Source organism: Homo sapiens, chromosome 11, assembly GCF_000001405.40.
Source record: "Homo sapiens chromosome 11, GRCh38.p14 Primary Assembly".
NCBI classification, from domain to species: Eukaryota; Metazoa; Chordata; class Mammalia; order Primates; family Hominidae; genus Homo; species Homo sapiens.
Genome location: NC_000011.10, coordinates 67,414,940 through 67,435,426, shown reverse-complemented (window position 1 = coordinate 67,435,426; position 20,487 = coordinate 67,414,940). Strand labels below are relative to the sequence as shown.

Sequence of the window (20,487 nt, the reverse complement as noted above, 5' to 3'; positions counted from 1 at the left end):
GCAGCACAAAGAGCCAGGTCAGCACCATGATTCAGCCCTTTAATCTTCCACGGGAGCAGTTGAGCGCGGGGCGTGGCGGGCGGCCCTCCGTGCCCATGATTCAGGGGCACAGCTGCCCCAGCAGACACACACTTTCATACGCACTCACACCCCACCCCCAGACACACCCCCAGGTCTCTGGAACTGGCCCAGGGTCCTGCTGCTCTCACAGCCGCAGGGACAGGGCTCAAGGGCTACCCTCACCCCCACCCGGCTTCCTAGCGCCCTGGACGCCCACGGCCCCTCTTGGACTTCTTGGTCCCTGAGGGGGGACGGATGGGGAGAGGGGCGGTGGTCGAGGGCGGCGGCGGTGGCAGGAGTGGAGGTAGAGGTAGCTCCGTGGGCTCCGGCAGGCTGGGGCTGGGCCGAAACCCCTCAAAAGGGGAGAACTTGAGGGGGCTGCAGGGGAAACCAAGGCAGAATAAGAGCCTCCTAGGCCCTGCCAGAGGCTCCCAGCACTCAGTCAGGGAAGGCAGCCTTTCCCACCTGCCCAGGCACACAGGCCGCGGGCTCCACAAACTCCCATCCAGGCAGCCTGGCCACAAGGGGTGTAGGAACTGAGGTCCCCATGATAGACACAGCAACCGAAGCCAACACTGGCCGACAGACGTGGCCAAGGCACCCAAGGCTGGAGCTGGCATCCTGCCTGCCAGCGTCCCTAACCCAGCCACACACCCCCACGTCCCTCAGTACCTGACGGGGGCCCGGGGGCTACTGTTGAGGCGCCTGGGTGAGCGCAGCTTGGGCTGGAAGGAGAAGCCCTCCTTGATGCTGTCCAGGACAGACGGCGCCACGTATGTGAAGCCCTGGGGGGCGGAGGCAGGGCCATGCGACACTCAGTGCCTGCCATCCTTAGTCACGATCCGTGCCCTGGTCCCACAGGCCTCAGGCCCCCGCACTCACCAGGAAGGCCTGGTTGGCACTCTCGCTGAGGGCTGTGTCATCAGGACTGTCCACCGGCGTCTGCCGTGTGAAGCGGGTATCAAACTGGCTCACGTCCTCCTCTGACTGCTGTGGGCCGACCAGAGTGGGGAGGGGTCAGAGGGCACCAAGATGCAGGTTCTCCACTTGCCACCCGCCACCGGCCACTGGCCACCAGCCCTGCTGCTCACCAGACAGGGCCTGAAAGGGGGGTCCACACGCCAGGCCAGAAGGTCGTCCCAATTCATGTGCCGGAAAAAGGGATGTCTCTGTAGGTAGAGAATGCACCAAACCCACTAACAGCTCACCCTGCTTGCCCCCCGGTCACTCCCTCTGCCCTGGGGCCCTGCCCCCATTCCCGGCACCCTTGGAGACTCAGCCCTACCCCTGGTGGTGGTCCCAAACCCACCTGCACATCAGCAGCATCCCCTGGGCCACCCCCAATCCGCTGGCTGGGATTCCGTTTCAGAAACTGCGGGACCAGGAGAGAGGGTGAGGGCCTGGGCAAGTACTGCTCATGTGTCCCCGGGTCCCAGGGCTAGCTGGAGTAGGGGTCAGGTGACATGGGAGAGAATGCTTTTGGGTGTGGCTCCCACCTATGGATACCCTCAGGGCTTTCAAGGTTTGGTCAATGGAGCCACCTTCTCCACAAAGGCTTTGCAGAGGCTCCTGGGCCCTGGCATTGCCCCAGGGCGCGTTGGTGAGGCGCCAACTCCCCATGTGGCTGTCCGGCCTCCCCCTAACACCTCCGATGCTCGCCTTTGACGGAAGTGTGGCCAGCTCATCACAAGCGTGTCACTGGTTAGGACTCAGCCTAAGGACTGGGCCAGGGCAGCAGCTGGTCTGTGACAGGGCTGAGACCTGGGCTCAATCCCTGACTTCAAGGGAGGGGCTCCTTTCATTCCCAGAGGCAAACTGCACAGGCCGGGGTGGCCCTGGCTTCCCCACAGCCCAGAGAGACTCAGGAACACGTGCAGAATGGCTGGCAGGGCCCCGGAGAAGAGAGAAGGGAGCTGCACCTTTTTGACAAGGTCCCGGGCATCTGGGGTGAGGTAGGGGGGCAGTGCCAGCTTGCCCCTGATGATCTTATCCATGGTTTTCTTCCGGTTCTCTGCGGTGAAGGGCGGCTGGAGGAGGAGGAAGGTGAGAGGAGCCTTGTGGGCCTCCCACCAGGCCCTGCCCTTGCCCCAGGAGGGGGGCTACTCCCACCTCTGCCCCTGCCCCTCCTCCTCCCCGGGGGCTGGACTTGCCGATCCAGTGAGCATGTCGTACATCAGGGCCCCCAGGCTCCACCAGTCCACAGCCCGGTTGTGGCCACTGCGCACCAGAATCTCAGGGGCCCTGGGGTCCAGGTGGAACTGTCAGTCAGGCCGTGCCCCTTCGGGCTGTCCTCCCGACCCCTGGGCCAGCCAGGTGCCACTTACATGTACTCAATGGTGCCGCAGAAGGTGTGAGTGACGGCGCCCTCATGGATAGACTCCTTGCAGAGTCCAAAGTCGGTCAGTTTGATGTGGCCTGAGGAAGGGTGTTGGAGAGGCGTGACCAGGGCCCCACCCCACCCACAGAGGTCCTCAGCCCTCCCCACAGATTGCAGACCCCGCCTGCAGCTGCCCGCACACACATGCGCACCCTGGCTGCTGAGCATGATGTTCTCGGGCTTGAGGTCCCGGTAGATGATGCCCTGGGAGTGGAGATGGCCCAGGGCCAGCGTGATCTCAGCCAGGTAGAAGCTGCAGAAACAAGACAGGGTGAAGGCGGGAGTAGAGCAGGGACCTGGCAGCCTCAGGAAAGCGGAGGATTAACACCCACCAGGCCGTATCTTCCAGGAAGATGCCCTCTCGCTCCAGATGCGTGAAGAGCTCGCCACCTGCCACACAAACACGTCAGCAGCCACGTGCTGGGTCCAAGCCCCTTTGTGCTTTCTGAGTCTTTATTTCTTCTTGGGGAAAGAGGGGCTCATAATTCCCGCCCTACCTGCCTCACAGAGCTGCCGTGGGGATTCAATTCAATTCAGCAAACATCTACCGACGCCTACTCGGTGCCTGGCCCTGTGCTGGGTGAAGCTGGGGACAGGATGAAGAGACCCAGCCACTGCCCTCAGGACGCTCAGTCTACTGGGGAGACAGACATGTACACAACGGCTCTAATACGCCAGGCCCAGGCCACAGCTCCAAGAGCTTAGCCCAAAAGATCTCGCAGAGAAGACAGGGAAGACAGAGTGAATCCCAACAGAACAGAACAGAGAAAGCGCGGTTTGCTGGGACTTTAAGGGGATGCTGAGATGGACGGAGCGAATGCAGAGCATGGAGGCAGAAGCTCGCAGGGTTCATCTGGCCCAAACGAGGGAAAGGCAGGTCAAGACTGCTCACAGCCTGCAGGGGACAGCCGGCCTAGGGGCAAGGCTTGATGTGGGCAGCCAGCCGCAGGACTCTGAATAGAAGGGCTGGGAGCAGCCCCAGGCTCTATGACCTCAGCAGTCGGCAGAGGAGACACTAGAAAGCAGGTGAGCGGGAGGCCTCAGCCCAGTTAGAAAAGTGCTCTGGCCACCCCACCAGGCCCCTGAGAGTGGACGGATGGAGGAGGACACTACAGAGAATGAACCAGTTGGGCTGGGGACCTGACAGGATGCAGGGCACACGGGAGAGAAGAACAAGACAGGGAGGGGAGTAGGAAGAGACTCAACCATCCTCTGGACTTCTATCCAAATTCGCACCATGCCCATCCACCCCCAACACACGTGAGGGACACAGTAGGTGCTGGACAGACGTTTGCTGAATGAATGAATGATGGGACGGATGCACGGATGGATGGATGGATGGGTAGGACAGAGTGGGGGCCCCCTAGCCAACCCCCACAGACTCATCTCTCAAGAGCTTCCCCCCAGAGCTTCCTTTGCTGGCTCGCTGCCCCCCCGCGACCCCCAGCACCCCTGCCTGGGCCCGCACTCATACCACTGAGGCACTCAAGGATGAGGTAGAGTTTGCCACCAGTCTGGAAGGCATAGGCCAGTTCCACAATAAAGGGGTGCTTCACTGACTCTAGAATGTTCCGCTCAGCCCGTGTGTGTGCTGTGTCCTTGGCATTGCGCACAATTTTGGCCTGGAGATACAGGAATTGGTTAGAAACTGAGGCATCCAGGCTGGGCACAGTGGCTCACACCTGTAATCCCAGCACTCTAGGAGGCCAAGGCAGGCGGATTACCTGAGGTCAGGAATTTGAGACCAGCCTGGCCAACATGGTGAAACCCCATCTCTACTAAAAATAGAAAAATTAGCTGGGTATGATGGTACACGCCTGTAATCCCAGCTCAGGAGGCTGAGGCAGGAGAATCGCTTGAACCCAGGGGCAGAGGTTGCAGTGAGCTGAGATCACGCCACTGCACTCCAGCCTGGGTGACAGAGCGAGACACTATCTCAAAAAAAAAAAAAAAAAAAAAATGGGGGCAACCAGAGCTCCTCAGACCATCCATCTGTTTGTTAACTGCTGCATCCTCTGTCACTGCATTGTATTTCTCCATAATTCTGCTGCTGTCAGCCACCATCATTTTCAGGGATGGGTTTATCCTCTAACACAGGGTTTCTCAACCTCGGCACTACTGACACCTGGGACCAGGTCATTCTTTGTTGTGGGAGGCTGCCCTGCGCATCGTGGGATGTTCAGCAGCATCCCTGGTCTCCACCCACCGGGTGCCAGTAACACTCCCCTCTTGCCTTGACAATCAAAAATGTGTCCATGCCAGGCGCAGTGGATCACACCTGTAATCCCAGCACTTTGGGAGGTTGAGGCAGGCGAATCACCTGAGGTCAGGAGTTCGAGACCAGCCTGACCAACATGGTGAAACCCTGCCTCCACTAAAAAGTACAAAAACTAGGCCAGGCACGGTGGTTCATGGCTGTAATCCCAGCACTTTGGGAGGCCAAGGTGAGCGGATAGCCTGAGGTCAGGAGTTCAAGACCAGCCTGACCAACATGACAAAAACCCATCTCTACTAAAAATACAAAAAAAAAAAATTAGCCAGGAGTGGTGGTTCACGCCTGTAATCCCAGCTACTCAGGAGGCTGAGGCAGGAGAATCACTTCACCCTGGGAGGTGGAGGTTGCCAGTGAGCCGAGATCGCACCACTGCACTCCAGCCTGAGTGACAGAGTGAGACTCCGTCTCAAAATAAGTAGGTAAACAAATAGAAATACAAAGATTAGCCAGGTGTGGTGGCACAAGCCTGTAGTCCCAACTACTCAGGAGGCTGAGGTAAGAGAATTACCTGAACCCGGGAGGCAGAGGTTGCAGTGAGCAGAGAGTGCACTACTGCACTCCAGTCTGGGGAACAAAGCAAGACTCCATCCAAAAAAAAAAAAAAGCTAGGGACGGTGGCTCATGCCTGTAATCCCAGCTCCCAGCACGTTGGAGGCCAAGGCGGGCAGATCACCTGAGATTAGGAGTTAGAGACCAGCCAGGCGAAACCCCACCTCTACAAAAAAGTACAAAAATTAGCTGGGTGTGGTGGCAAGCGCCTGTAATCCCAGCTACTCCGGAGTCTAAGGCACGAGAATCGCTTGAACCTGGGAGACAGAGGTGGCAGTGAGCCAAAATCGCGTCACTGCACTCCAGCCTGGGTGACAGAGCAAGACTCCGTCTTAAAAAAAAATAAAATAAAATAGTGTCCAGACACTGTTGTCAAATGTCTGCTGGGAGTCAAAATTGCCCCCATTGAGAATTACTGCAAGACAATACACATCACAACAGACAATAAACCAGCAAACGCCAAAGTCAGGGATCCTCCTCCACTGTGTTCCCTGCTGTCTTCCCAAAGCCTGGTACAGCATGTTGGGAATGGCAGCCACACAGTATTCGTTGGCTGAACGAGTGACTCACCTTCCTTAGGACTTTCATGGCATATATTTTGCCCAAGTTGGTGCCTTGCACCTTTCGCACCTGGAACACCTGTAGGGCAGGGGAGACAGGATCAACTTCCCTCTCCACATCCTATCTTCAAGAAGCCCCACCCTGAAGCTCTGGCTTTGGGATCAGGAGGCCTAGGCCCTGCCAAGGGTGGGGCAGTGAAGATTTCAAGTCCGATTGGAGAGGATTTGGCCTTCCCTCCTTTATGTTTCTGGCTCTGAATCCCATTAGAGGCCCTGCTGATTCACAAGTCTAATTTGTTTTGAGAACCCTTTGCTGCCTCCAGATGGAGGCTGTGAGGCCAGGAGGAGGGTGCGCCCGCCCCTACCTTGCCATAGCCCCCCTTGCCCAGCACACGCAGCAGCTCAAAGCAGTGGGGCCCGATGCGCTCTGGGCCAACGTTCACGCTGGTCTCAGTCAGCTCCACCTCTTCATAGTGTCCCACAGGCCTACGGACACAAGGAGTTAATGAGGACAAGGCTCCAGTGCTCCCCAGTTCCCCTTCCCCACTCCATTCCCCCCTCCCCCAACACGACCCTCACTCACTCTAGGCCAGCTGCCCTCAACTCGGCAAGGGGACATGCGTCCTGTGAGAAACCGAGGGGTAAGAGCCAAGGAAGGTGCCAGGATACCTCCCCGCTCCCGTTCAGGTTGGACTGCGTGGCCCAGGAGAGAAGGGTGTCAGGGATGGCAGCTAGTAGGGGATGGGTAAGAATTGGGAAGAAACCGAAGGCAGGAAAGGGAGAATCGGGAGAAAAGGCTGGGGTTCTGGAAGAGAGGTCGGGGTGAGGGTGGGATCAGAACTTAATAGAGACCGGGATCTGAGAAGGATCTGGGTCTGCAAAGAGTCGGAGCCCGCTCTGGGCGTGCGGAGCCGCCGCTCCGGCCTCGGCTGGGTGACAGGATCGGCTCCAGGATCCAGTCGCGCCAGGGCAGGGCACTCACCGCGGGGCTGAGCTCTGGCTCGCCCTCGCCCTCGCTGCCTTCCTCCGTCTCCAAATCCAAATCAAACACGGCCGCCATGGCGGCGCCGGCCCCGCGGGCCCGTCGGCCCGTACCTGGCCGCGCACTGACTGACAGTCCCGGACCTAAACATCATCTCTCCGCGACGGCAGCTGCGCGCGCCGGTGACGCAAGGGATCTTACTCCCCCTCCGGAAAATCGCTTAGCCTGGTGGGGAACAAAGATGGCTTCCGTCGCAAGGCCTCTCGGGAATTGTAGTCCTAGAGTGGCGAGGCGCCTAGCCTTCAGCCTGCAGAATCCTTTCCGCAGGACCCTCGGTCTTCCCAGCAAGGCTTTCTGGGAGCCCGTTTTGGTTCTACGGTGTTTTGAGTTTGGATGGAGCAGGGTCGGAAGTGTATGCAGGTGTGAATGTAAATGCAATCCCCAGCCCTGTTGGAGACGGGTACTGCCAGGCCGGCTGCGTGATGAAAGGCAGGTCGCGTTGCTTTCGGTTCACTCCAGAAAGGGAGGCGGCTGCATCAGGGTCTCCTCAAAGTGCCTCTGGCTCGAGGACCCTGCAAATCGGAGCATTTACTGAGTGGCCAGCTCACTGCCAGGCTATGTTGCCAGGTTCCCGCCTTAAATAGGGTTTTGGGGGTCAGTGATAGACCTGTAAATATGGGATTTTGTTGGCGTTTACTCCCTTCTTAATTTAAGCACATTTAGGCACCTGGTACAGAATAGACACTTCAAAAAACGTTGTTGAGGCCGGACACGATGCCTCACGCCTGTAATCGTAGCACTTTGGGAAGCCAAGTTGGGAGGATCACTTGAGGCCAGGAGTTCAAGGTTACAGTGAGCTATGATGGTGCCACTGCACTCCAGGCTGGGTGACACAGTGAGATCCTGTCTCAAAAAAACAAACAGGCCGGAGGCGGTGGCTCACACCTGTAATCTCAACACTTTCGGAGGCCGAGGTGGGTGGATCACTTGAGGTCAGAAGTTGGAGACCAGCCTGGCCAACATGATGAAACTCTGCCTCTACTATAAATACAAAAAATTAGACGGGTGTGGTGGCGCGCACCTGTACTCCCAGATACTCGGGAGGTTGAGGCAGGAGAATCGCTTGAACTCGGGCGATAGAGGTTGCAGTGAGCCAAGATTGCACCACTGCGCTCCAGGCTGGGCGGCAGAGTGAGACCAAGTCTCAAACAGATAAAACCCGAAAACCTGGCTGGTCACGGTGGCTCACACCTGTAATCCCAGCACTTTGGGAGGCCGAGCCAGGCGGATCACCTGAGGTCGGGAGTTCAGGACCAGCCTGACCAACATGGAGAAACCCCGTCTCTACTAAAAACACAAAATTAGCTGGGCATGGTGGTGCATGCTTGTAATCCCAGCTACTCGGGAAGGCTGAGGCAGGCGAATCACTTGAACCTGGGAAGCGGAGGTTGCGGTGAGCCAAGATCATGCCATTGTACTCCAGCCTGGGCAACAAGAGCGAGACTCCATCTTAAAAAAAAAAAAAAAAAAAAAAAAAAAAAAAAAAAAAACTTTATGGTTTTTTTTTCTTTGTTTTGTTTAGTTTTTCAGACAGGATCTTACTCTGTCACCCAGGCTGGAGTACAGTGGCAAGATCGTGGCTCATTGCAGCCTTGACTTCTTGGGTTCCAGTGATTCTCCCACCTCAAATCCCAAGTAACTGGAATGACATAATCACATAATCTTTTTTCTTTTCTTTCTTTCTTTCTTTTTTTTTTTTTTTAGAGGGGAGGTCTTGTTTTGTTGCCCAGGAGGCTGGTCTTGAACTTCTGGACTCAAGTGATCCTCCTGCCTTGGCCTTCCAAAGTGCTGTGATTACAGGCATGAGCCACTACACCCAGCAAAAACCAAAAACGCTGTTGACAGAATGAACTTAGGCCAGGCAGGGTCGCTCATGCCTGCGATCCCAGCAATTTGGGAGGCCAAGGCGGGTGGATCACTTGAGGTCAGGAGTTCAAGACCAGCTTAACCAACATAGTGAAAACCTGTCTCTACTAAAAATACAAAAATTAGCCGGGAGTGGTGGTGCATGCCTATAGTCCCAGCTACTTGGGAGGCTGAGGTAGGAAAATCGCTTGAACCTGGGAGGCAGAGGTTGCAGTGAATCAAGATCACGCCATTGCACTACAGCCTGGGCAACAGAGTGAGACTCCGTCTCCAAAAAAAGAAAAAAAAAGAAAGAAGGAATGAACACACTCAACACAGCAAATCTTGTCTGTGACATGTGGTCTGTGACTTTAGATTGGGTATGGATTTGGCGGGGCGCGGTGGCTCACACCTGCAACCCTAGCACTTTGGGAGGTCGAGCCGGGTGGATCGCTTGAGGTCAGGAGTTCGACACCAGTCTGGCCAACATGGTGAAACCCCGTCTCTACTAAAAATACAAAAATTAGCTGGGTGTGGTGGTGGGTGCCTGTAATCCCAGCTACTTGAGAGGCTGAGGCAGAAGAATCACTTAAACCCGGGAGGCAGAGGTTTCAGTGAGCCGTGACTGTGCCATTGCACTCCAGCCTGGGCAGCAAGAGTGAAACTGTCTCAAAAAAAAAAAAAAAGATTGGGTATGGATTCTTATTGGATGGGGATGTGTGGGTGTGAATTTGGGTCAGACCAGGCCTTGGGTGTGAGTTCTGATTGTTGGAGGCTGTCTAGGTGTGCCTTCCATGTGCATAGGGGAGGTTGGGTATGAACTGAGGTGGACAGAATTCAGGGGTCTCCAGGCATGCAGAGGGTTATCTCGTTGAATGTGGCCCTCTGGTTGTAATTCCACCAAAGGAGATCCCCAGGTTCGGGTCTTGATGTGGGTGTAGGGCAGGCCCCTAGCAACCCAGGGCAACTCAGACACCAGGCCAGTGGGGTGGTTTTCCCTTAGCTCCAGATGCTACAAGTATCCCCTACCCGTCTCTTGATCCCCCTTCCCCACCCCCTATCTAGCTGATCCTGGGAGGAGTTGTCCAGTCAAGAGAACCTATCTAGACACTTCACCAGTACATAAGCCTTTATTTGGGGAGGGATGCCTGGGGAGCTGCCTCCAGCTCCTCTGCTGCACAGAGGCAGGATTTCTTAAAGCATCTTCCCTGAATGAGGAAGAGAGTGTAGACTCTCCTCTGCCAATGCTAGTTAGGTGTGCCAGAGGCCAAAGCACCAAAGCTCGGTGGAGAAGGTTTGTGATGCATAGGAGGGAGGTGTTCACGTGTCTCAGGGCCACTTGTGAATGAGGGCAGGGAGGTGAGGGGGGCCTAGAAGCTGAATGGGCATGTAAGACTTGATCAAAACAGAAACCTGGACCCTGCATCATGTCCTGTGACCCGCTCTCCACTGTGGTATAATCCTGGAGCAGTCATTTTTCTTCTCTCAGCCTGTTTCCTCTCATCGGGGGAACATAGGCAGTTGTGTCTGCCTGGGGTGAGCAGAAAGAGGATTACTTCTGTCCACAGGCCACCTGCCTCTACCGGTCAGGCCGAATGAGGCAGGTTGGATGCCACCAAGTTTCCAGCAGGCTTCAGAGCTATCCTAGAATTTGGGTAAGAGGAAGACAAGGGTTCTAGTCTCAGGTTTTCCCAGGATTTGTCCAAGGCTTGGGGCCCAGCCAGGTCCTCTCCTCTTGTAGATGGCAGGAAGAGAGTGAGACCTGGAGAGGTGGACAGGAGGGGCTGGGTTTGGGCCCACTCCCACCTGGGGAGCTGGCGTCAGAGGTGTGTGTGTGTGTGTGTGTGTGTGTGTGTGGCCATTGTCATTTCTCCAAGGCTAGAATGCTGGGGAAGCTGTAGGCTGGACTGGGGCCTTCGGGAGGGCAAGAGGCCCTTGAGTCCAGGATGCCTTGGTGTCTAAATTGCCCTGCTGCTCTGGAACAGACCTAGGCATTGCAGCGGGCCAGGCTGGGGCTGGGGCATGGTGATGGGGAGAGAAGCAGGAAGAGCTCCAGGGAGCAGAGGGCACCACAGTGCCTCCACCCAGCACTGCTTCCCTGCCCCCTGACCCCAGTGCTATTTGAAGTGAGACAGGAAGTGGGCAACAGGGTAGCTGGGCCCATCGATGCCCAGGCCCTGGCAGAGGCCCAGCAGGCGGAGACGGGCCTCGGTGGGGCTGGGTCCGGCACAGGCCACACTGCAGTAGGGCTCCTCATACTCGCCAGGCACCAGGGCCTCCTCCAGCAGATTGAGGCGTAGCAGTCCACGGTCGTGCAGGGCCTGCAGGGTCTCACGGCTGGCGGTGGAACTCAGGGCCTGCAGGTGCTGGGACACAAGGCACATGACGCCCACCAGATGGCCACGAGCACGTGGGCGGGTGGGCAGGGCAGGACGCAAGCCACAGGCCACCATAACAGCAGCCAGCAGCAGGTCAACACCATAGAGCTCCAGGATCCAATCACGCAGGTAGAAGCCACCCATGCGGGGGTTGATCTCGATAAGCCGAGGCCCAGCCCCGGTCAGCTTGAGCTCCACGTTGAAGACTCCATCGAGCAACCCGCAGCCCAGGCAACAGCGGAAGGCTGCCTGAACCATCTGTGCCTCCTGCTCTGGTGCCAGCCCGGTGGGCATGCAGGCCGCCGTCTCAGTGAAGCCAGGCAGCCTCGTAGGGCCATTGTCGGAGACAAAGGCAGCCAGCAACCGCCCACCAAACAACACCAGGTCCACGTCGTGCTCGGTGCCCTCCACAAACTCCATCAGCAGCATGGCATTGCCCCAGCCCAGCCCAATGCCTGGGTGGTCGGCCTCGCCCTGCAAGTCTCGGGTAATCCGGGAAAAGTGCTCATGGCACTGTGGCGCATCCTCTACCAGCCGGACACCCACTGCACCTGCCCCGAACTCCAGCTTCATGACACCTGGCAGGGGTACCTGGTGCACGGCCCTCTCCACATCAGCCTCACTCTCCAGTGGGCAGCAGGGCACAGCATGGAGGGAGGGCGCAGGCCAGGGTGGGCCATGGTGGTGCAACAGGTGCAGCTGGGTGAGGCTCTTCTGCTTAGCCAGGCGCATGGCAGCTGGGGAGCTGCAGGGCAGACCTAGCTCCTGGCAGAGCAGGGCTGTGAGCACCAGGCAGTCATCCCAGTAGGAGAAGCAGCCATCTAGCTTGAGGCCGCGAGCCCGCACCAACTCTGCCAGCAGCCGTGCGTTCTCCTCATCCCTCCGGTGCTCTGTCATGTCAAAGTGGATGAAGGTCTGTACCAACTGGGATGCAAAGTGGTTGGGGTCTGACTCCACGAGGTGCAGCTGCAGAAGCCACAGGGTGGGGCATATCCAGGTCAGCTAGTACTGGGTGCTAGGGGGATAGGATGGGGCCTAGGATGGCCCCTTCAGGGGATACGAGTACACAAACACTAGGTGCTCAATAAATGTGTGTTGTGGATTGACTGAATAAATGGAAGGGGCAGAAGTGGGACACCTGATACAGGCCGGAGGGGAGGGAAGGCATCCTAGAGGAGGCAATGCCTAAGCTGGGAGCTGAAGAATATGAGTCAGCCAGGTGGCTGCAGGAGGAAAAGGCATGTTCTGGGTGGGAGGGGCTGCAGCACAGAGAAGAGGGTGTGAGAGAGCGTGGTGGACTCTTTCCCACAGGCAGCCTCACTGGCCGGGGATTGCAGAGAAACTACCAGGGCTGGGGCTTGGGACAAGTGGTTTGGTCACAATTCACCCCATGTGCTCTGACACTGGGAAGTGTCCACGGAGGAATCCAGTGGGGCCCCGTGCCCCTAAAGCTTACTGCCTGCTGGGGGAACCCAGGGCAGGGCAGCCACTGAAGAGAGAGGGAGGGTGGCTCTCTGCAAAGTAACACAGCCTCGGCAGTGGAGTGACATTCCAAGTGGAGAAAACACTGAGCAAGGCAGGGGACACAGAGGTGGTGTCCACAGGGGGTGCTGCACGGTGGGAGAGGGGAGAGGAGGCCAGTGTGCTAGATTAGGGCCAGCTTGAGATGGCCTCAGTTTTCTTATCTGTTCAATGGGGATAAGAATGTCTAATTGGCTGTGCGCAGTGGCTCACACCTGTAATCCCAGCACTTTGGGAGGCCGAAGCAGGAGGATCGCTTGAGCTCAGGAGTTCAAGACCATCCTGGGCAACAGAGCGAGATCCCGTCTCTACTAAAAATTTTTAAAATTAGCCAGGCAGGCCGGGCTGGTGGCTCACGCCTGTAATCCCAGTTCTTTGGGAGGCCAAAGCGGGCAGATCACTTGAGGTCAGGAGTTCGAGACCAGCCTGGCCAACATGGTGAAACCCTGTCTCTACTAAAAATAAAAAATTAGCCGGACATGTTGGTGCGTGCCTGTAATCCTAGTTACTCCGGAGGCTGAGGCACGAGAATCACTTGAACCCAGGAGGCAGAGGTTGCAATGGGCCGAGATTGCGCCATTCCACTCCAGCCTGGGAGACAGAGAGAGACTCCGTATTAAAAAAAAAAAAAAAAAAAAAAAAAAAAAAGGCCGGGCGCGGTGGCTCACGCCTGTAATCCCAGCACTTTGGGAGGCTGAGGCGGGTGGATCACGAGGTCAGGAGATCGAGACCATCCTGGCTAACATGGTGAAACCCCATCTCTACTAAAAGTTAGCCAGGCGTGGTGGCGGGCGCCTGTAGTCCCAGGTACTCGGGAGCCTGAGGCAGGAGAATGGCGTGAACCCGGGAGGTTGCAGTGAGCCGAGATCACGCCACTGCACCCAGCCTGGGCGACAGAGCAAGACTCCGTTTCAAAAAAAAAAAATTAGCTGGGCATGGTGGCACGTGCCTGTAGTCTCAGCTACTAGGGAGGCTGAGGTGGGAGGATCGCTTCAGCCCAGGAAGTCGAGGCTGCAGTGAGCTGTGATCGCACCACCGCACTCCAGTCTGGTCAACAGATTGAGACCCTGTCTCAAAAAAGAAAAAACAAAAACAAGTCTACCTGCCTGGCTCGCTCCAGATTCTGTAAAGTGATGCCCTGCTATGAACTTGATTCAGGATCTGTATGCGGTTCCCCAGCACCCTCTGCGGGTCCTGGGTGCCAAGTGTCAGGAATTCAACCTCAAAGGGCCCGCCCTTTCCCCAAGACAGAGCCAGGCTCCTTAGCCTGGCATTCAAGGCCCCCACTCTGGCGCTAACGCTGTCCCTCGCCCAGCCCATCTACCCGGGCTCCTCTCCTCTTTCTGTGGAGGACTCCCTGCCCTCCCCAGGGCCTCTCACTCCAGAACTAGCGGAGTCCCCTCACCCTCACCGGGCGGCGGACTCCGCCCTTACTCCTGGGCTTACTTGTACCTGGCCAGGATGCCCCGCCCAAGCACCGCCTCTAGCGCGGCTGGTCCCGCCCCAAGGACGCCCCTTTGCTCCAGGCCCCGCCCCGGGGTCCCGCCTCCACCACTCGGGCCAGGACCTGGGGCCCAGCCCCGCCCCGCGCCCCGCCCACCTGGAGCCCGTAGTCGCGCGCCGCCTCCCACACGAACTTCTTGCTGACGCCGCCAGCGCCGACCACCAGCAGCTGTTTTCCCTCCATGAGGCAGCGCGCCGACCGCCGAAGCATGGTCTCCACCAGCGGCGCCGCCACCGCCTCGTCGGCCGCCGGCCCCAGCCGCGGCGCGGCCCACAGCCCCTCCAGCGCGCCGCACGCCTCCAGACACAGGCCGCCGTTCAGCTCCAGGGCCACTGGGGTCAGCACGCCGCCGGCCGCTGTCAGCGCGAAATCCACGCCTGCGCCGGGCGGGAGGCGCGAGCTCAGCTACGGCAGCCACCGCCCTCCAGCCCCTGGCCCTCGGCTCCCGGCCCCGGCCCCGGCCGCCCTCACTCACCCAGGAAGTCCGTGTGCGCCCGGCGCCCGCCGCGCTGCTCGGCACTCAGGCCGGCCTCCAGAGCCAGCACGGCGGCCAGCGCGGCCTCGGCCGCCGCCTTGACGCGCTGCCGCACAGCCGCCACCTGCGCCTCCTCGCCCAGGCCGCACTGGGCCAGCGCCACCTCCAGCGTCCTCGGCAGGGAGTTGTGGTGCCGTAGAGGGCGGTCCCCGCGGCCCACGCCGCACACCACCTGGGCAGGGGGAGACTCAGGGGGAGGCCCACACACTCCCTGCCCCCCACGCACACCCCCACCGCCTTGTGCCAAAATTCAGACCAGACCCCTCACTGGACATTCAAGAAGCCCCGTCCTCCAACGTGTCTTAAATTGCACACGAGCTCTCCCTGCCACTCCCCATCTGGTCCCCAGACCTCTCCAGGGATTCTACCTACCCAGGCTTCCAGGCCCAGCTGGGGTCCCCCTCCAGGATGGCTCCTGCAGCCCTGGGGGCCTGGGCCACCCTGGTGTGCCCCACCCTAGCATCTCCCTGGGGCGCACCTTTCCCTACCCCACTGGAGCTCCCTGAGGGCAGGGTCGAATCTCTCCCTCTCAGTGTAGCCTAGAGCGGGGTACTCAGGAGGGTCCGTAAGCCTTCCTGACTCTCCAGCTTAGAGGCCCCTCCTGAAGGCGTCCAGGCACTAGAGGTTTATCAGGAGGCCCTGGGTCAGCCTCTACGTGGGCAAGAGCTCTCTGGGAAGACAATTCAGCCCCCTGGGCCCTGGTACTACCCAGCGTGGGGCTGAGCACAGGGGCAGGGGCTCTTGGTGTGGGAGGGATTCTGGAAGGGTTGCAGGAGAGGGAAGACGGTCAGACCCAGTAGTTTCCCCAGAGGCAACTACGACCCCCCTAAGGATTTTGTCCTCTCTGCCCAGAGACGGCTCAGGGGCCCTTGGCAAACCACTACTGGGACTGGGCTGGCGTGTGGCAGGCAGGGTCACAGCCTGGGCCTGGGCCACGCTCACCTTGCTCAGCAGTGGCCTATCACCCTGTGTCCGACACACCACAGCACAGATTCGCACGGCCAGGCCGGGGCCGGGTGAAGGACCATCTGGGGGAAGACGGGGAGGTCTAAGGCCAGCACAGAGTGGCCAGAAGGCCACACCAAACTCCCATCCCTGGTCAGCCCAGGTGGCTCTCACCTGAGCAGGGCAGCTGGGCAGGTGGGTACACAGCCTCCACCAGGACACTCTCCTCCTCCTCCAGCTTCTCCAGCAGCGCCAGCACTGTGTCCACCACTGCACCCAGCTCTGCCCGCGGGTGCAGACGCCATGCCTGCCGCCCCCGCCAGCGCCAGCCACTGAGCTTCACAGCTACCTGCAGCAAGGAGGGGAAAGGGGCCTCCTGGACACCACCCCAGGTACTGCAGGGTGGGGCACTTCCGCCACAGGAGCCGGTGAGTAAACTGAGGCAAAAGGGCAGGGGATTGCCCCAGAGATGGGGCAGGGCAGCGGCAGGGCTAAGAGGTAGGGACACCTTTCCAGCCAGACTTGGTAACCGTGCCTGGGTCCCATCCTGCTGGCATCTGTACAGACCTCAGGGTGGGCGAGAGTCTGTTACCTGCAGGATATCACCCAGGGCCTCGGAGCGCAGAAAAGCCTCCACTTCCTCTTTCACCAGCGTCTCCTGGCCCTCTTTGCCACTCAGCTCCACCAGCCGTAGCCCTAGGCTGGCATCCCCTCCCCGCAGCAGCCCCGGCGGCTTGTAGGTGAAAGCCAGGGTTGCTGGCACAGCCACACCACCCTGCTGGGCCAGCAACTGCCTTGTCAGCAGCCGGTCCTCCAGCAGCCGGGCCAGCTCAGCCGAAGCTCCTGTGGGGCAGGTCAGGTCACGGGCGAGTTCTGCTGCCTCTCGGCCCCGGCCAGGCCCCAGGCCCAGGCCTGCCAAAAAGTAGGTGGCACGGCGCGGGGGGACAAAGTCATCCAGGAATGTCAGGCCCCCAGGGTGGAAGCTCACAGCCTTGGAGACTAGCAGGGCTGCCTCACCCGGCTGCCCGGGTGCTGGCACCTTCATCAGCCAAGCAGGGGACAGGCAAAGGAGCATGTTTCCTGTGGGCAGAGAAGGCAAGTGGCTGGCCAGGGAAGGCTTGATGCCCTATGCCCGGGCCCCCGGGTAGCGGAGTGGAAGCAGCTGATCCCAGAACCCATCCCCATTCAGCATGGCAGCTGCTCCGGTGGAATGCAGGCAGTTGCCAGGGTTGGCGGGTATTTTGGGATGTGGCTGGGCCAGGGCAGGGCTGCCCTTTCTGTAGAAGGGGATGGGGAAACTTGAGCATACACTCACCCGGGCTCTGGACCCCACCCTCCAGCAGCACAGGCAGAAAGGTGCTGGGGGAGCCCAGAACGCACAAGGTCACCTCCGCCCCAGGACAGCCTCGGGAAAGAGAACATGGCCCAGCTCACCAGGGGCGCCCTTGCTGTCTCTCTGCCCACCTTCCACCACCTCCACACCCACGGCCCCACCCTGAGCCCCCAGAGTTTTCCCAGGAATCGGATGAGACAGGGGACAGGCAGGGAATGGAGGTGCCCGCCAGTCCTGCCCCGTGAAGCTGGTTTCCCCTTTCTGCAGCTGTTCCAGAGGTGCTGTGGGCTAGGTGACTGGAGACCTGAGTTCTAGCCCGAGCTCTGACTTTCTGTGTAACCTTGGAGGAGTCAGTGTTCCTCCAAGCCTCAGTTTCCAAGTTTGTACAATGGGACCAAGTCTGTGATTCTCAGGTATTCTGCCTGTGAACCCTCTGTCCACACAAAGTCTGATATATGTAACAGGCGTGGAGGGGCAGAAGGGGAGGAGTCTGGGGGGTCTCAGCTGCTGAGCTGCCTCCACCACAGCTCCCAAGACCTTTCTCTAGAAGCTTCGGTGCCACACAACGTGGTTTCCCAATCCCAGGGCTGGGTCTTTTTGGGGAGGGGGTGAGGGCAGGGAGCCCAATCCTTGACCTCACTGGTGCCAGATGCCCTTGCAAACAATGTCCGCCTACCCTAGGCCAACTGGCTGTGCCTTCCCTGCCTTCAGATGGAACCAGAGCCTAGGGGAAGGGGCCGACCTTGACAGGGATGAGCAAGCAGACTGGGCTGAGGGCCCCTCCCTGCCCCCAGAGGTGCCTCCCTCCAGGGAGCCCTTGGGCACCTGTGCGGGGCACCTGGCCGCGGTCCTGAGTCTCCGGAAGGCCAGCTTGCTGCAGACAGCTCTGCAGGAGGCTGTAGTAGTAGACAGTCCAAGCCCGGGCCTCGGCCCCCTCGGGGGATCCCTTGCAGTCCAGGCCCACGTCCTGGCGCCAGGAGCCAGGGAAGCAGCCTGTGGGCGGCAGGCCAGAGCCCCCTCCCCAGGGGCCCTCTTCCTCCAGGTCCTTGGAGCCCAGTGGGCAATCCCACTCGGGACCCGATGGATCCAGGGAGAGCTGAGAGGGCAGAAGTGGTAGGTCTTGGGCAGGGTGGGCCAGTGGGCACATTAAGTCACCCAAGGGTGTAAGCCCCCCACTCTCCCAGCCTGGGCTATGTTCAGGGCTGACACCGTCCCGGGGACTAGGAGAGGAAAGGCTTGTGTTGGGGGCGAAGGCTTGTTAATGGGAACGCAACCGTGGGAGTGCTTTGTAAACTGTTCTGTGTGGTGCCCCTGGGGGGAGGGCAGGAAGCAATGTCTTGCCAGCCAGCCCCTCCCGCCCCTGCCATGCTGGGCTCCGCCTTAGCTTGCTTCACAGCAGCAGAGTTTTCTGCTTGTTTTGTTCATGGAGGCAACCCCAGCACCTAAAGCGTGCCTGGCACACAGCCACTTCTCAGTAAGTGTTTGTTGACTGAAGAGTAGATGAATGAACGAACCCAGCCATCACTCTGAGGTGGCTTATTTCTGTCTCATGACCCGGCATGGAGTGTGCTGACACCTAAATGTGATTCCACTGTCATCCCCACGTAGGTCTTGAAGCCCTACTGTGTGCCCAGCCCTGGGCTAAACATTAGGAGGCTAGACAGTATCCCCCCTGCAGATATTTTGAGTCACGGAAATGCTTTCTTTGGATGAAACCTAACGTCCCTCCCCTCTCTGAGGCTGGCGCCCCCCCAATATGGGGCTGCTGGGAGGCTTCGTGTGAATGGAATTCTTGTTCTTTGCAGTCCCCAGGCCTGGACAGGCCTGGCAGCTGAGTCTGTCCTCCAGGGGACAGGCTCGGCCACCTTGAGCAAGTCGTGAGGTCTCTTTGGACCTTGTTGCCTGGTGCCTGCCCTCTCCCATCCCCTGGGGGCTGATGAGGCTGGGACGAAGAGAATCTCTTGGTTGTTGGGAGATGGTGTGCTGTGGCCCAGACGGCAGAGGACTGGGCCTCATGCCTGGGCTCGAATCCCAGTTTGCCAGGGCCAGAGCCTCTGTGCCGTCTCCTAGAAGGTGAGCTCCCTGAGGGGCCATGGAATGAATGAATGTCACAGGGCACTAAGAGTGCCCACCTCCCAGGATGCAGCCGCAGGGTGGGGGTGGGGGAGCTGGTCGTGGGTCTAAGCTGTCTGCAGGGGGCAACTCCCAGGCTTAGGTCCTAGGTGCTGCCTGCTGTCCTCTGGGCCCACTCTCTGCCCAGGGACTTGGGCCTTGTGGGGGAGGGACCACAGAAGACTCACCATCTCGTGGGTGGAGTGGCTGAGAGACTGATGGCAGAGACAGAGGGACAGAGAGACGAAGGAGTCAGGGCAGCCAAGTCCCTGCCTGGCCTTCCAGCCCCTAGACTTTGGGAGTGGAGAGGTGGCCGACACCTGTCCCTGCAGAGAGAGGCCAAGGCAGCCCCACCCCCACCCCGAAGGTAGGGAGGGATTTCTGCTGCCCAGACCGAGTGGCTCCTGCCCCAGTGCGGCTCACAGGTCCTTCCTGCCCTGGGGTCCGGGCTTGGCTCTGCCCCTCCAGCGCGGGGGGGAGTTGGGGGCACCGGGTCCCGGGGGTGGGGGGCGTAGCGTCGAGGGTCCCGCCGCGGGGAGCGGGCGCCCGGGGTCCTCGTCCCCGCGACTCCTGCCCCGGCCGCCCCCCTCCCTGGCTCTCCCCGGGGCGGGGCCGGAGCTGGGGTACCTGGCGGCGGCAGCGGCTCGGCGGGCGTGGCGGGCGGACTCGGACCGGGCGGGATGCAGCGGCGGCGGCGGTGGCAGTGGCACAGCGCCCGGCCCAAGCGGCGCCGCTTTATATAGAAACGCCTGGGGCATGCCCAGTGCCCAGCGGGGGCGGCGCGGGGCGGACGGACCGACAGGGACCGATAGGGACCCGCCGGGGACGCGCCCCCCCCCCCCCCCGCCCGTCAGCCACGAAAACGTCCCAGACCTGGGGGCGTGTGGCGGGACACGGACCCAGCAGGAGGAGGGCACGGAGCAGGCAGGGAGAGACGGGGGTCTTCAGAGACACAGAGGAAGTCCCGACAGAGGGCCAGGTACAGATGGACAGGGACTGTCGTCGAGGGTCACAGACGTAGGGCTGCCATGAAGAAAGAGGGAGGCCCACCATGGAGAAGAGATGGAAAGGAGGGGCGGGGAGAGCCGGAGCAGGCAGAGACTGGTACTAGGGCCCGCCCTTAGGGGTGGGGTGCCCGGGAGAGCAGCCTGGAGCACACAGCCCTGAGCCCTACCTTTGGATGGAGGCCGGAGGTCCCAGCCCTGCAGCTTTCTGTCCCAGCTGCCAGCGCTTTGCCCTATTGCACGTTCTCCCAGAGAGGCCCTCCTGGGCCAGGGTCTCCACACATCTGTGCAGCCCCCTCCTCACTTCTGGACCCAGTGGACTTGCACACAGGGGCCAGGATGTCTATAAGATCCAGCCTCTCCTGGTGCGGTGGCTGCCTATAATCCCAGCACTTTGGGAGCCTGAGGCAGGAGAATTGCTTGAACCCAGGAGTTTGTGACCAGCCT

At 59.7% G+C, this 20,487-nt stretch overlaps 2 protein-coding genes across 9 annotated transcripts, besides 11 other annotated features; both read right to left on the bottom strand.

The window, feature by feature from the left end:
* Nucleotides 1-25: 25 nt before the first annotated feature.
* On the bottom strand, nucleotides 26-6,933 carry RPS6KB2 (ribosomal protein S6 kinase B2). 4 transcript variants are annotated; one of them, NM_003952.3, is made up of 15 exons: nucleotides 6,804-6,933; nucleotides 6,405-6,445; nucleotides 6,187-6,307; nucleotides 5,832-5,900; nucleotides 3,912-4,059; nucleotides 2,770-2,827; nucleotides 2,590-2,690; nucleotides 2,385-2,475; nucleotides 2,211-2,301; nucleotides 1,980-2,087; nucleotides 1,370-1,432; nucleotides 1,152-1,229; nucleotides 943-1,050; nucleotides 733-845; nucleotides 26-438 (listed from the first exon to the last, which is right to left on the bottom strand). In NM_003952.3, exons 1-15 carry the CDS (start codon nucleotides 6,879-6,881, stop codon nucleotides 258-260), a joined length of 1,449 nt encoding a protein of 482 aa, NP_003943.2. In that variant the 5' UTR covers nucleotides 6,882-6,933; the 3' UTR covers nucleotides 26-257. The 4 variants fall into 4 exon arrangements, with proteins under 4 accessions (NP_003943.2, XP_006718719.1, XP_047283351.1 ...); XM_006718656.4 differs by lacking the exons at nucleotides 3,912-4,059; nucleotides 5,832-5,900; nucleotides 6,187-6,307; nucleotides 6,405-6,445; nucleotides 6,804-6,933 and adding an exon at nucleotides 2,935-3,071; XM_047427395.1 differs by lacking the exons at nucleotides 26-438; nucleotides 733-845; nucleotides 943-1,050; nucleotides 1,152-1,229 and having other exon boundaries at nucleotides 1,396-1,432; nucleotides 2,233-2,301.
* Nucleotides 872-991: an enhancer, noted in NCBI's record as "active region_5096". NCBI's record gives its function as "activates an Ori minimal core promoter by ATAC-STARR-seq in GM12878 lymphoblastoid cells {active_cell/tissue: GM12878}" and the evidence as "EXISTENCE:reporter gene assay evidence [ECO:0000049][PMID:35858748]".
* Nucleotides 872-1,651: a biological region, named in NCBI's record as "H3K27ac-H3K4me1 hESC enhancer GRCh37_chr11:67201247-67202008".
* Nucleotides 890-1,651: an enhancer, noted in NCBI's record as "H3K27ac-H3K4me1 hESC enhancer chr11:67201247-67202008 (GRCh37/hg19 assembly coordinates)". NCBI's record gives its function as "activates a minimal SCP1, AML or CMV promoter by ChIP-STARR-seq in naive H9 embryonic stem cells {active_cell/tissue: H9 hESC(naive)}" and the evidence as "EXISTENCE:reporter gene assay evidence [ECO:0000049][PMID:30033119]".
* Nucleotides 1,022-1,121: an enhancer, noted in NCBI's record as "active region_5095". NCBI's record gives its function as "activates an Ori minimal core promoter by ATAC-STARR-seq in GM12878 lymphoblastoid cells {active_cell/tissue: GM12878}" and the evidence as "EXISTENCE:reporter gene assay evidence [ECO:0000049][PMID:35858748]".
* Nucleotides 5,688-6,455: an enhancer, noted in NCBI's record as "H3K27ac-H3K4me1 hESC enhancer chr11:67196443-67197210 (GRCh37/hg19 assembly coordinates)". NCBI's record gives its function as "activates a minimal SCP1, AML or CMV promoter by ChIP-STARR-seq in naive H9 embryonic stem cells {active_cell/tissue: H9 hESC(naive)}" and the evidence as "EXISTENCE:reporter gene assay evidence [ECO:0000049][PMID:30033119]".
* Nucleotides 6,456-7,223: an enhancer, noted in NCBI's record as "H3K27ac-H3K4me1 hESC enhancer chr11:67195675-67196442 (GRCh37/hg19 assembly coordinates)". NCBI's record gives its function as "activates a minimal SCP1, AML or CMV promoter by ChIP-STARR-seq in naive H9 embryonic stem cells {active_cell/tissue: H9 hESC(naive)}" and the evidence as "EXISTENCE:reporter gene assay evidence [ECO:0000049][PMID:30033119]".
* Nucleotides 6,890-7,139: an enhancer, noted in NCBI's record as "active region_5094". NCBI's record gives its function as "activates an Ori minimal core promoter by ATAC-STARR-seq in GM12878 lymphoblastoid cells {active_cell/tissue: GM12878}" and the evidence as "EXISTENCE:reporter gene assay evidence [ECO:0000049][PMID:35858748]".
* Nucleotides 7,240-7,389: an enhancer, noted in NCBI's record as "active region_5093". NCBI's record gives its function as "activates an Ori minimal core promoter by ATAC-STARR-seq in GM12878 lymphoblastoid cells {active_cell/tissue: GM12878}" and the evidence as "EXISTENCE:reporter gene assay evidence [ECO:0000049][PMID:35858748]".
* Nucleotides 9,823-19,749, bottom strand: CARNS1 (carnosine synthase 1). 5 transcript variants are annotated; one of them, NM_001166222.2, is made up of 10 exons: nucleotides 19,664-19,749; nucleotides 19,225-19,251; nucleotides 17,750-18,020; nucleotides 16,907-16,996; nucleotides 16,184-16,671; nucleotides 15,766-15,940; nucleotides 15,589-15,674; nucleotides 14,587-14,818; nucleotides 14,208-14,488; nucleotides 9,823-12,052 (listed from the first exon to the last, which is right to left on the bottom strand). In NM_001166222.2, exons 2-10 carry the CDS (start codon nucleotides 19,225-19,227, stop codon nucleotides 10,826-10,828), a joined length of 2,853 nt encoding a protein of 950 aa, NP_001159694.1. In that variant the 5' UTR covers nucleotides 19,228-19,251; nucleotides 19,664-19,749; the 3' UTR covers nucleotides 9,823-10,825. The 5 variants fall into 5 exon arrangements, with proteins under 5 accessions (NP_001159694.1, NP_001381506.1, NP_001381507.1 ...); NM_001394577.1 differs by lacking the exon at nucleotides 16,907-16,996; NM_001394578.1 differs by lacking the exon at nucleotides 17,750-18,020.
* Nucleotides 14,021-14,370: a silencer, noted in NCBI's record as "silent region_3632". NCBI's record gives its function as "represses an Ori minimal core promoter by ATAC-STARR-seq in GM12878 lymphoblastoid cells {active_cell/tissue: GM12878}" and the evidence as "EXISTENCE:reporter gene assay evidence [ECO:0000049][PMID:35858748]".
* Nucleotides 14,381-14,920: a silencer, noted in NCBI's record as "silent region_3631". NCBI's record gives its function as "represses an Ori minimal core promoter by ATAC-STARR-seq in GM12878 lymphoblastoid cells {active_cell/tissue: GM12878}" and the evidence as "EXISTENCE:reporter gene assay evidence [ECO:0000049][PMID:35858748]".
* Nucleotides 18,176-19,011: an enhancer, noted in NCBI's record as "H3K4me1 hESC enhancer chr11:67183887-67184722 (GRCh37/hg19 assembly coordinates)". NCBI's record gives its function as "activates a minimal SCP1, AML or CMV promoter by ChIP-STARR-seq in naive H9 embryonic stem cells {active_cell/tissue: H9 hESC(naive)}" and the evidence as "EXISTENCE:reporter gene assay evidence [ECO:0000049][PMID:30033119]".
* Nucleotides 19,750-20,487: the final 738 nt, after the last annotated feature.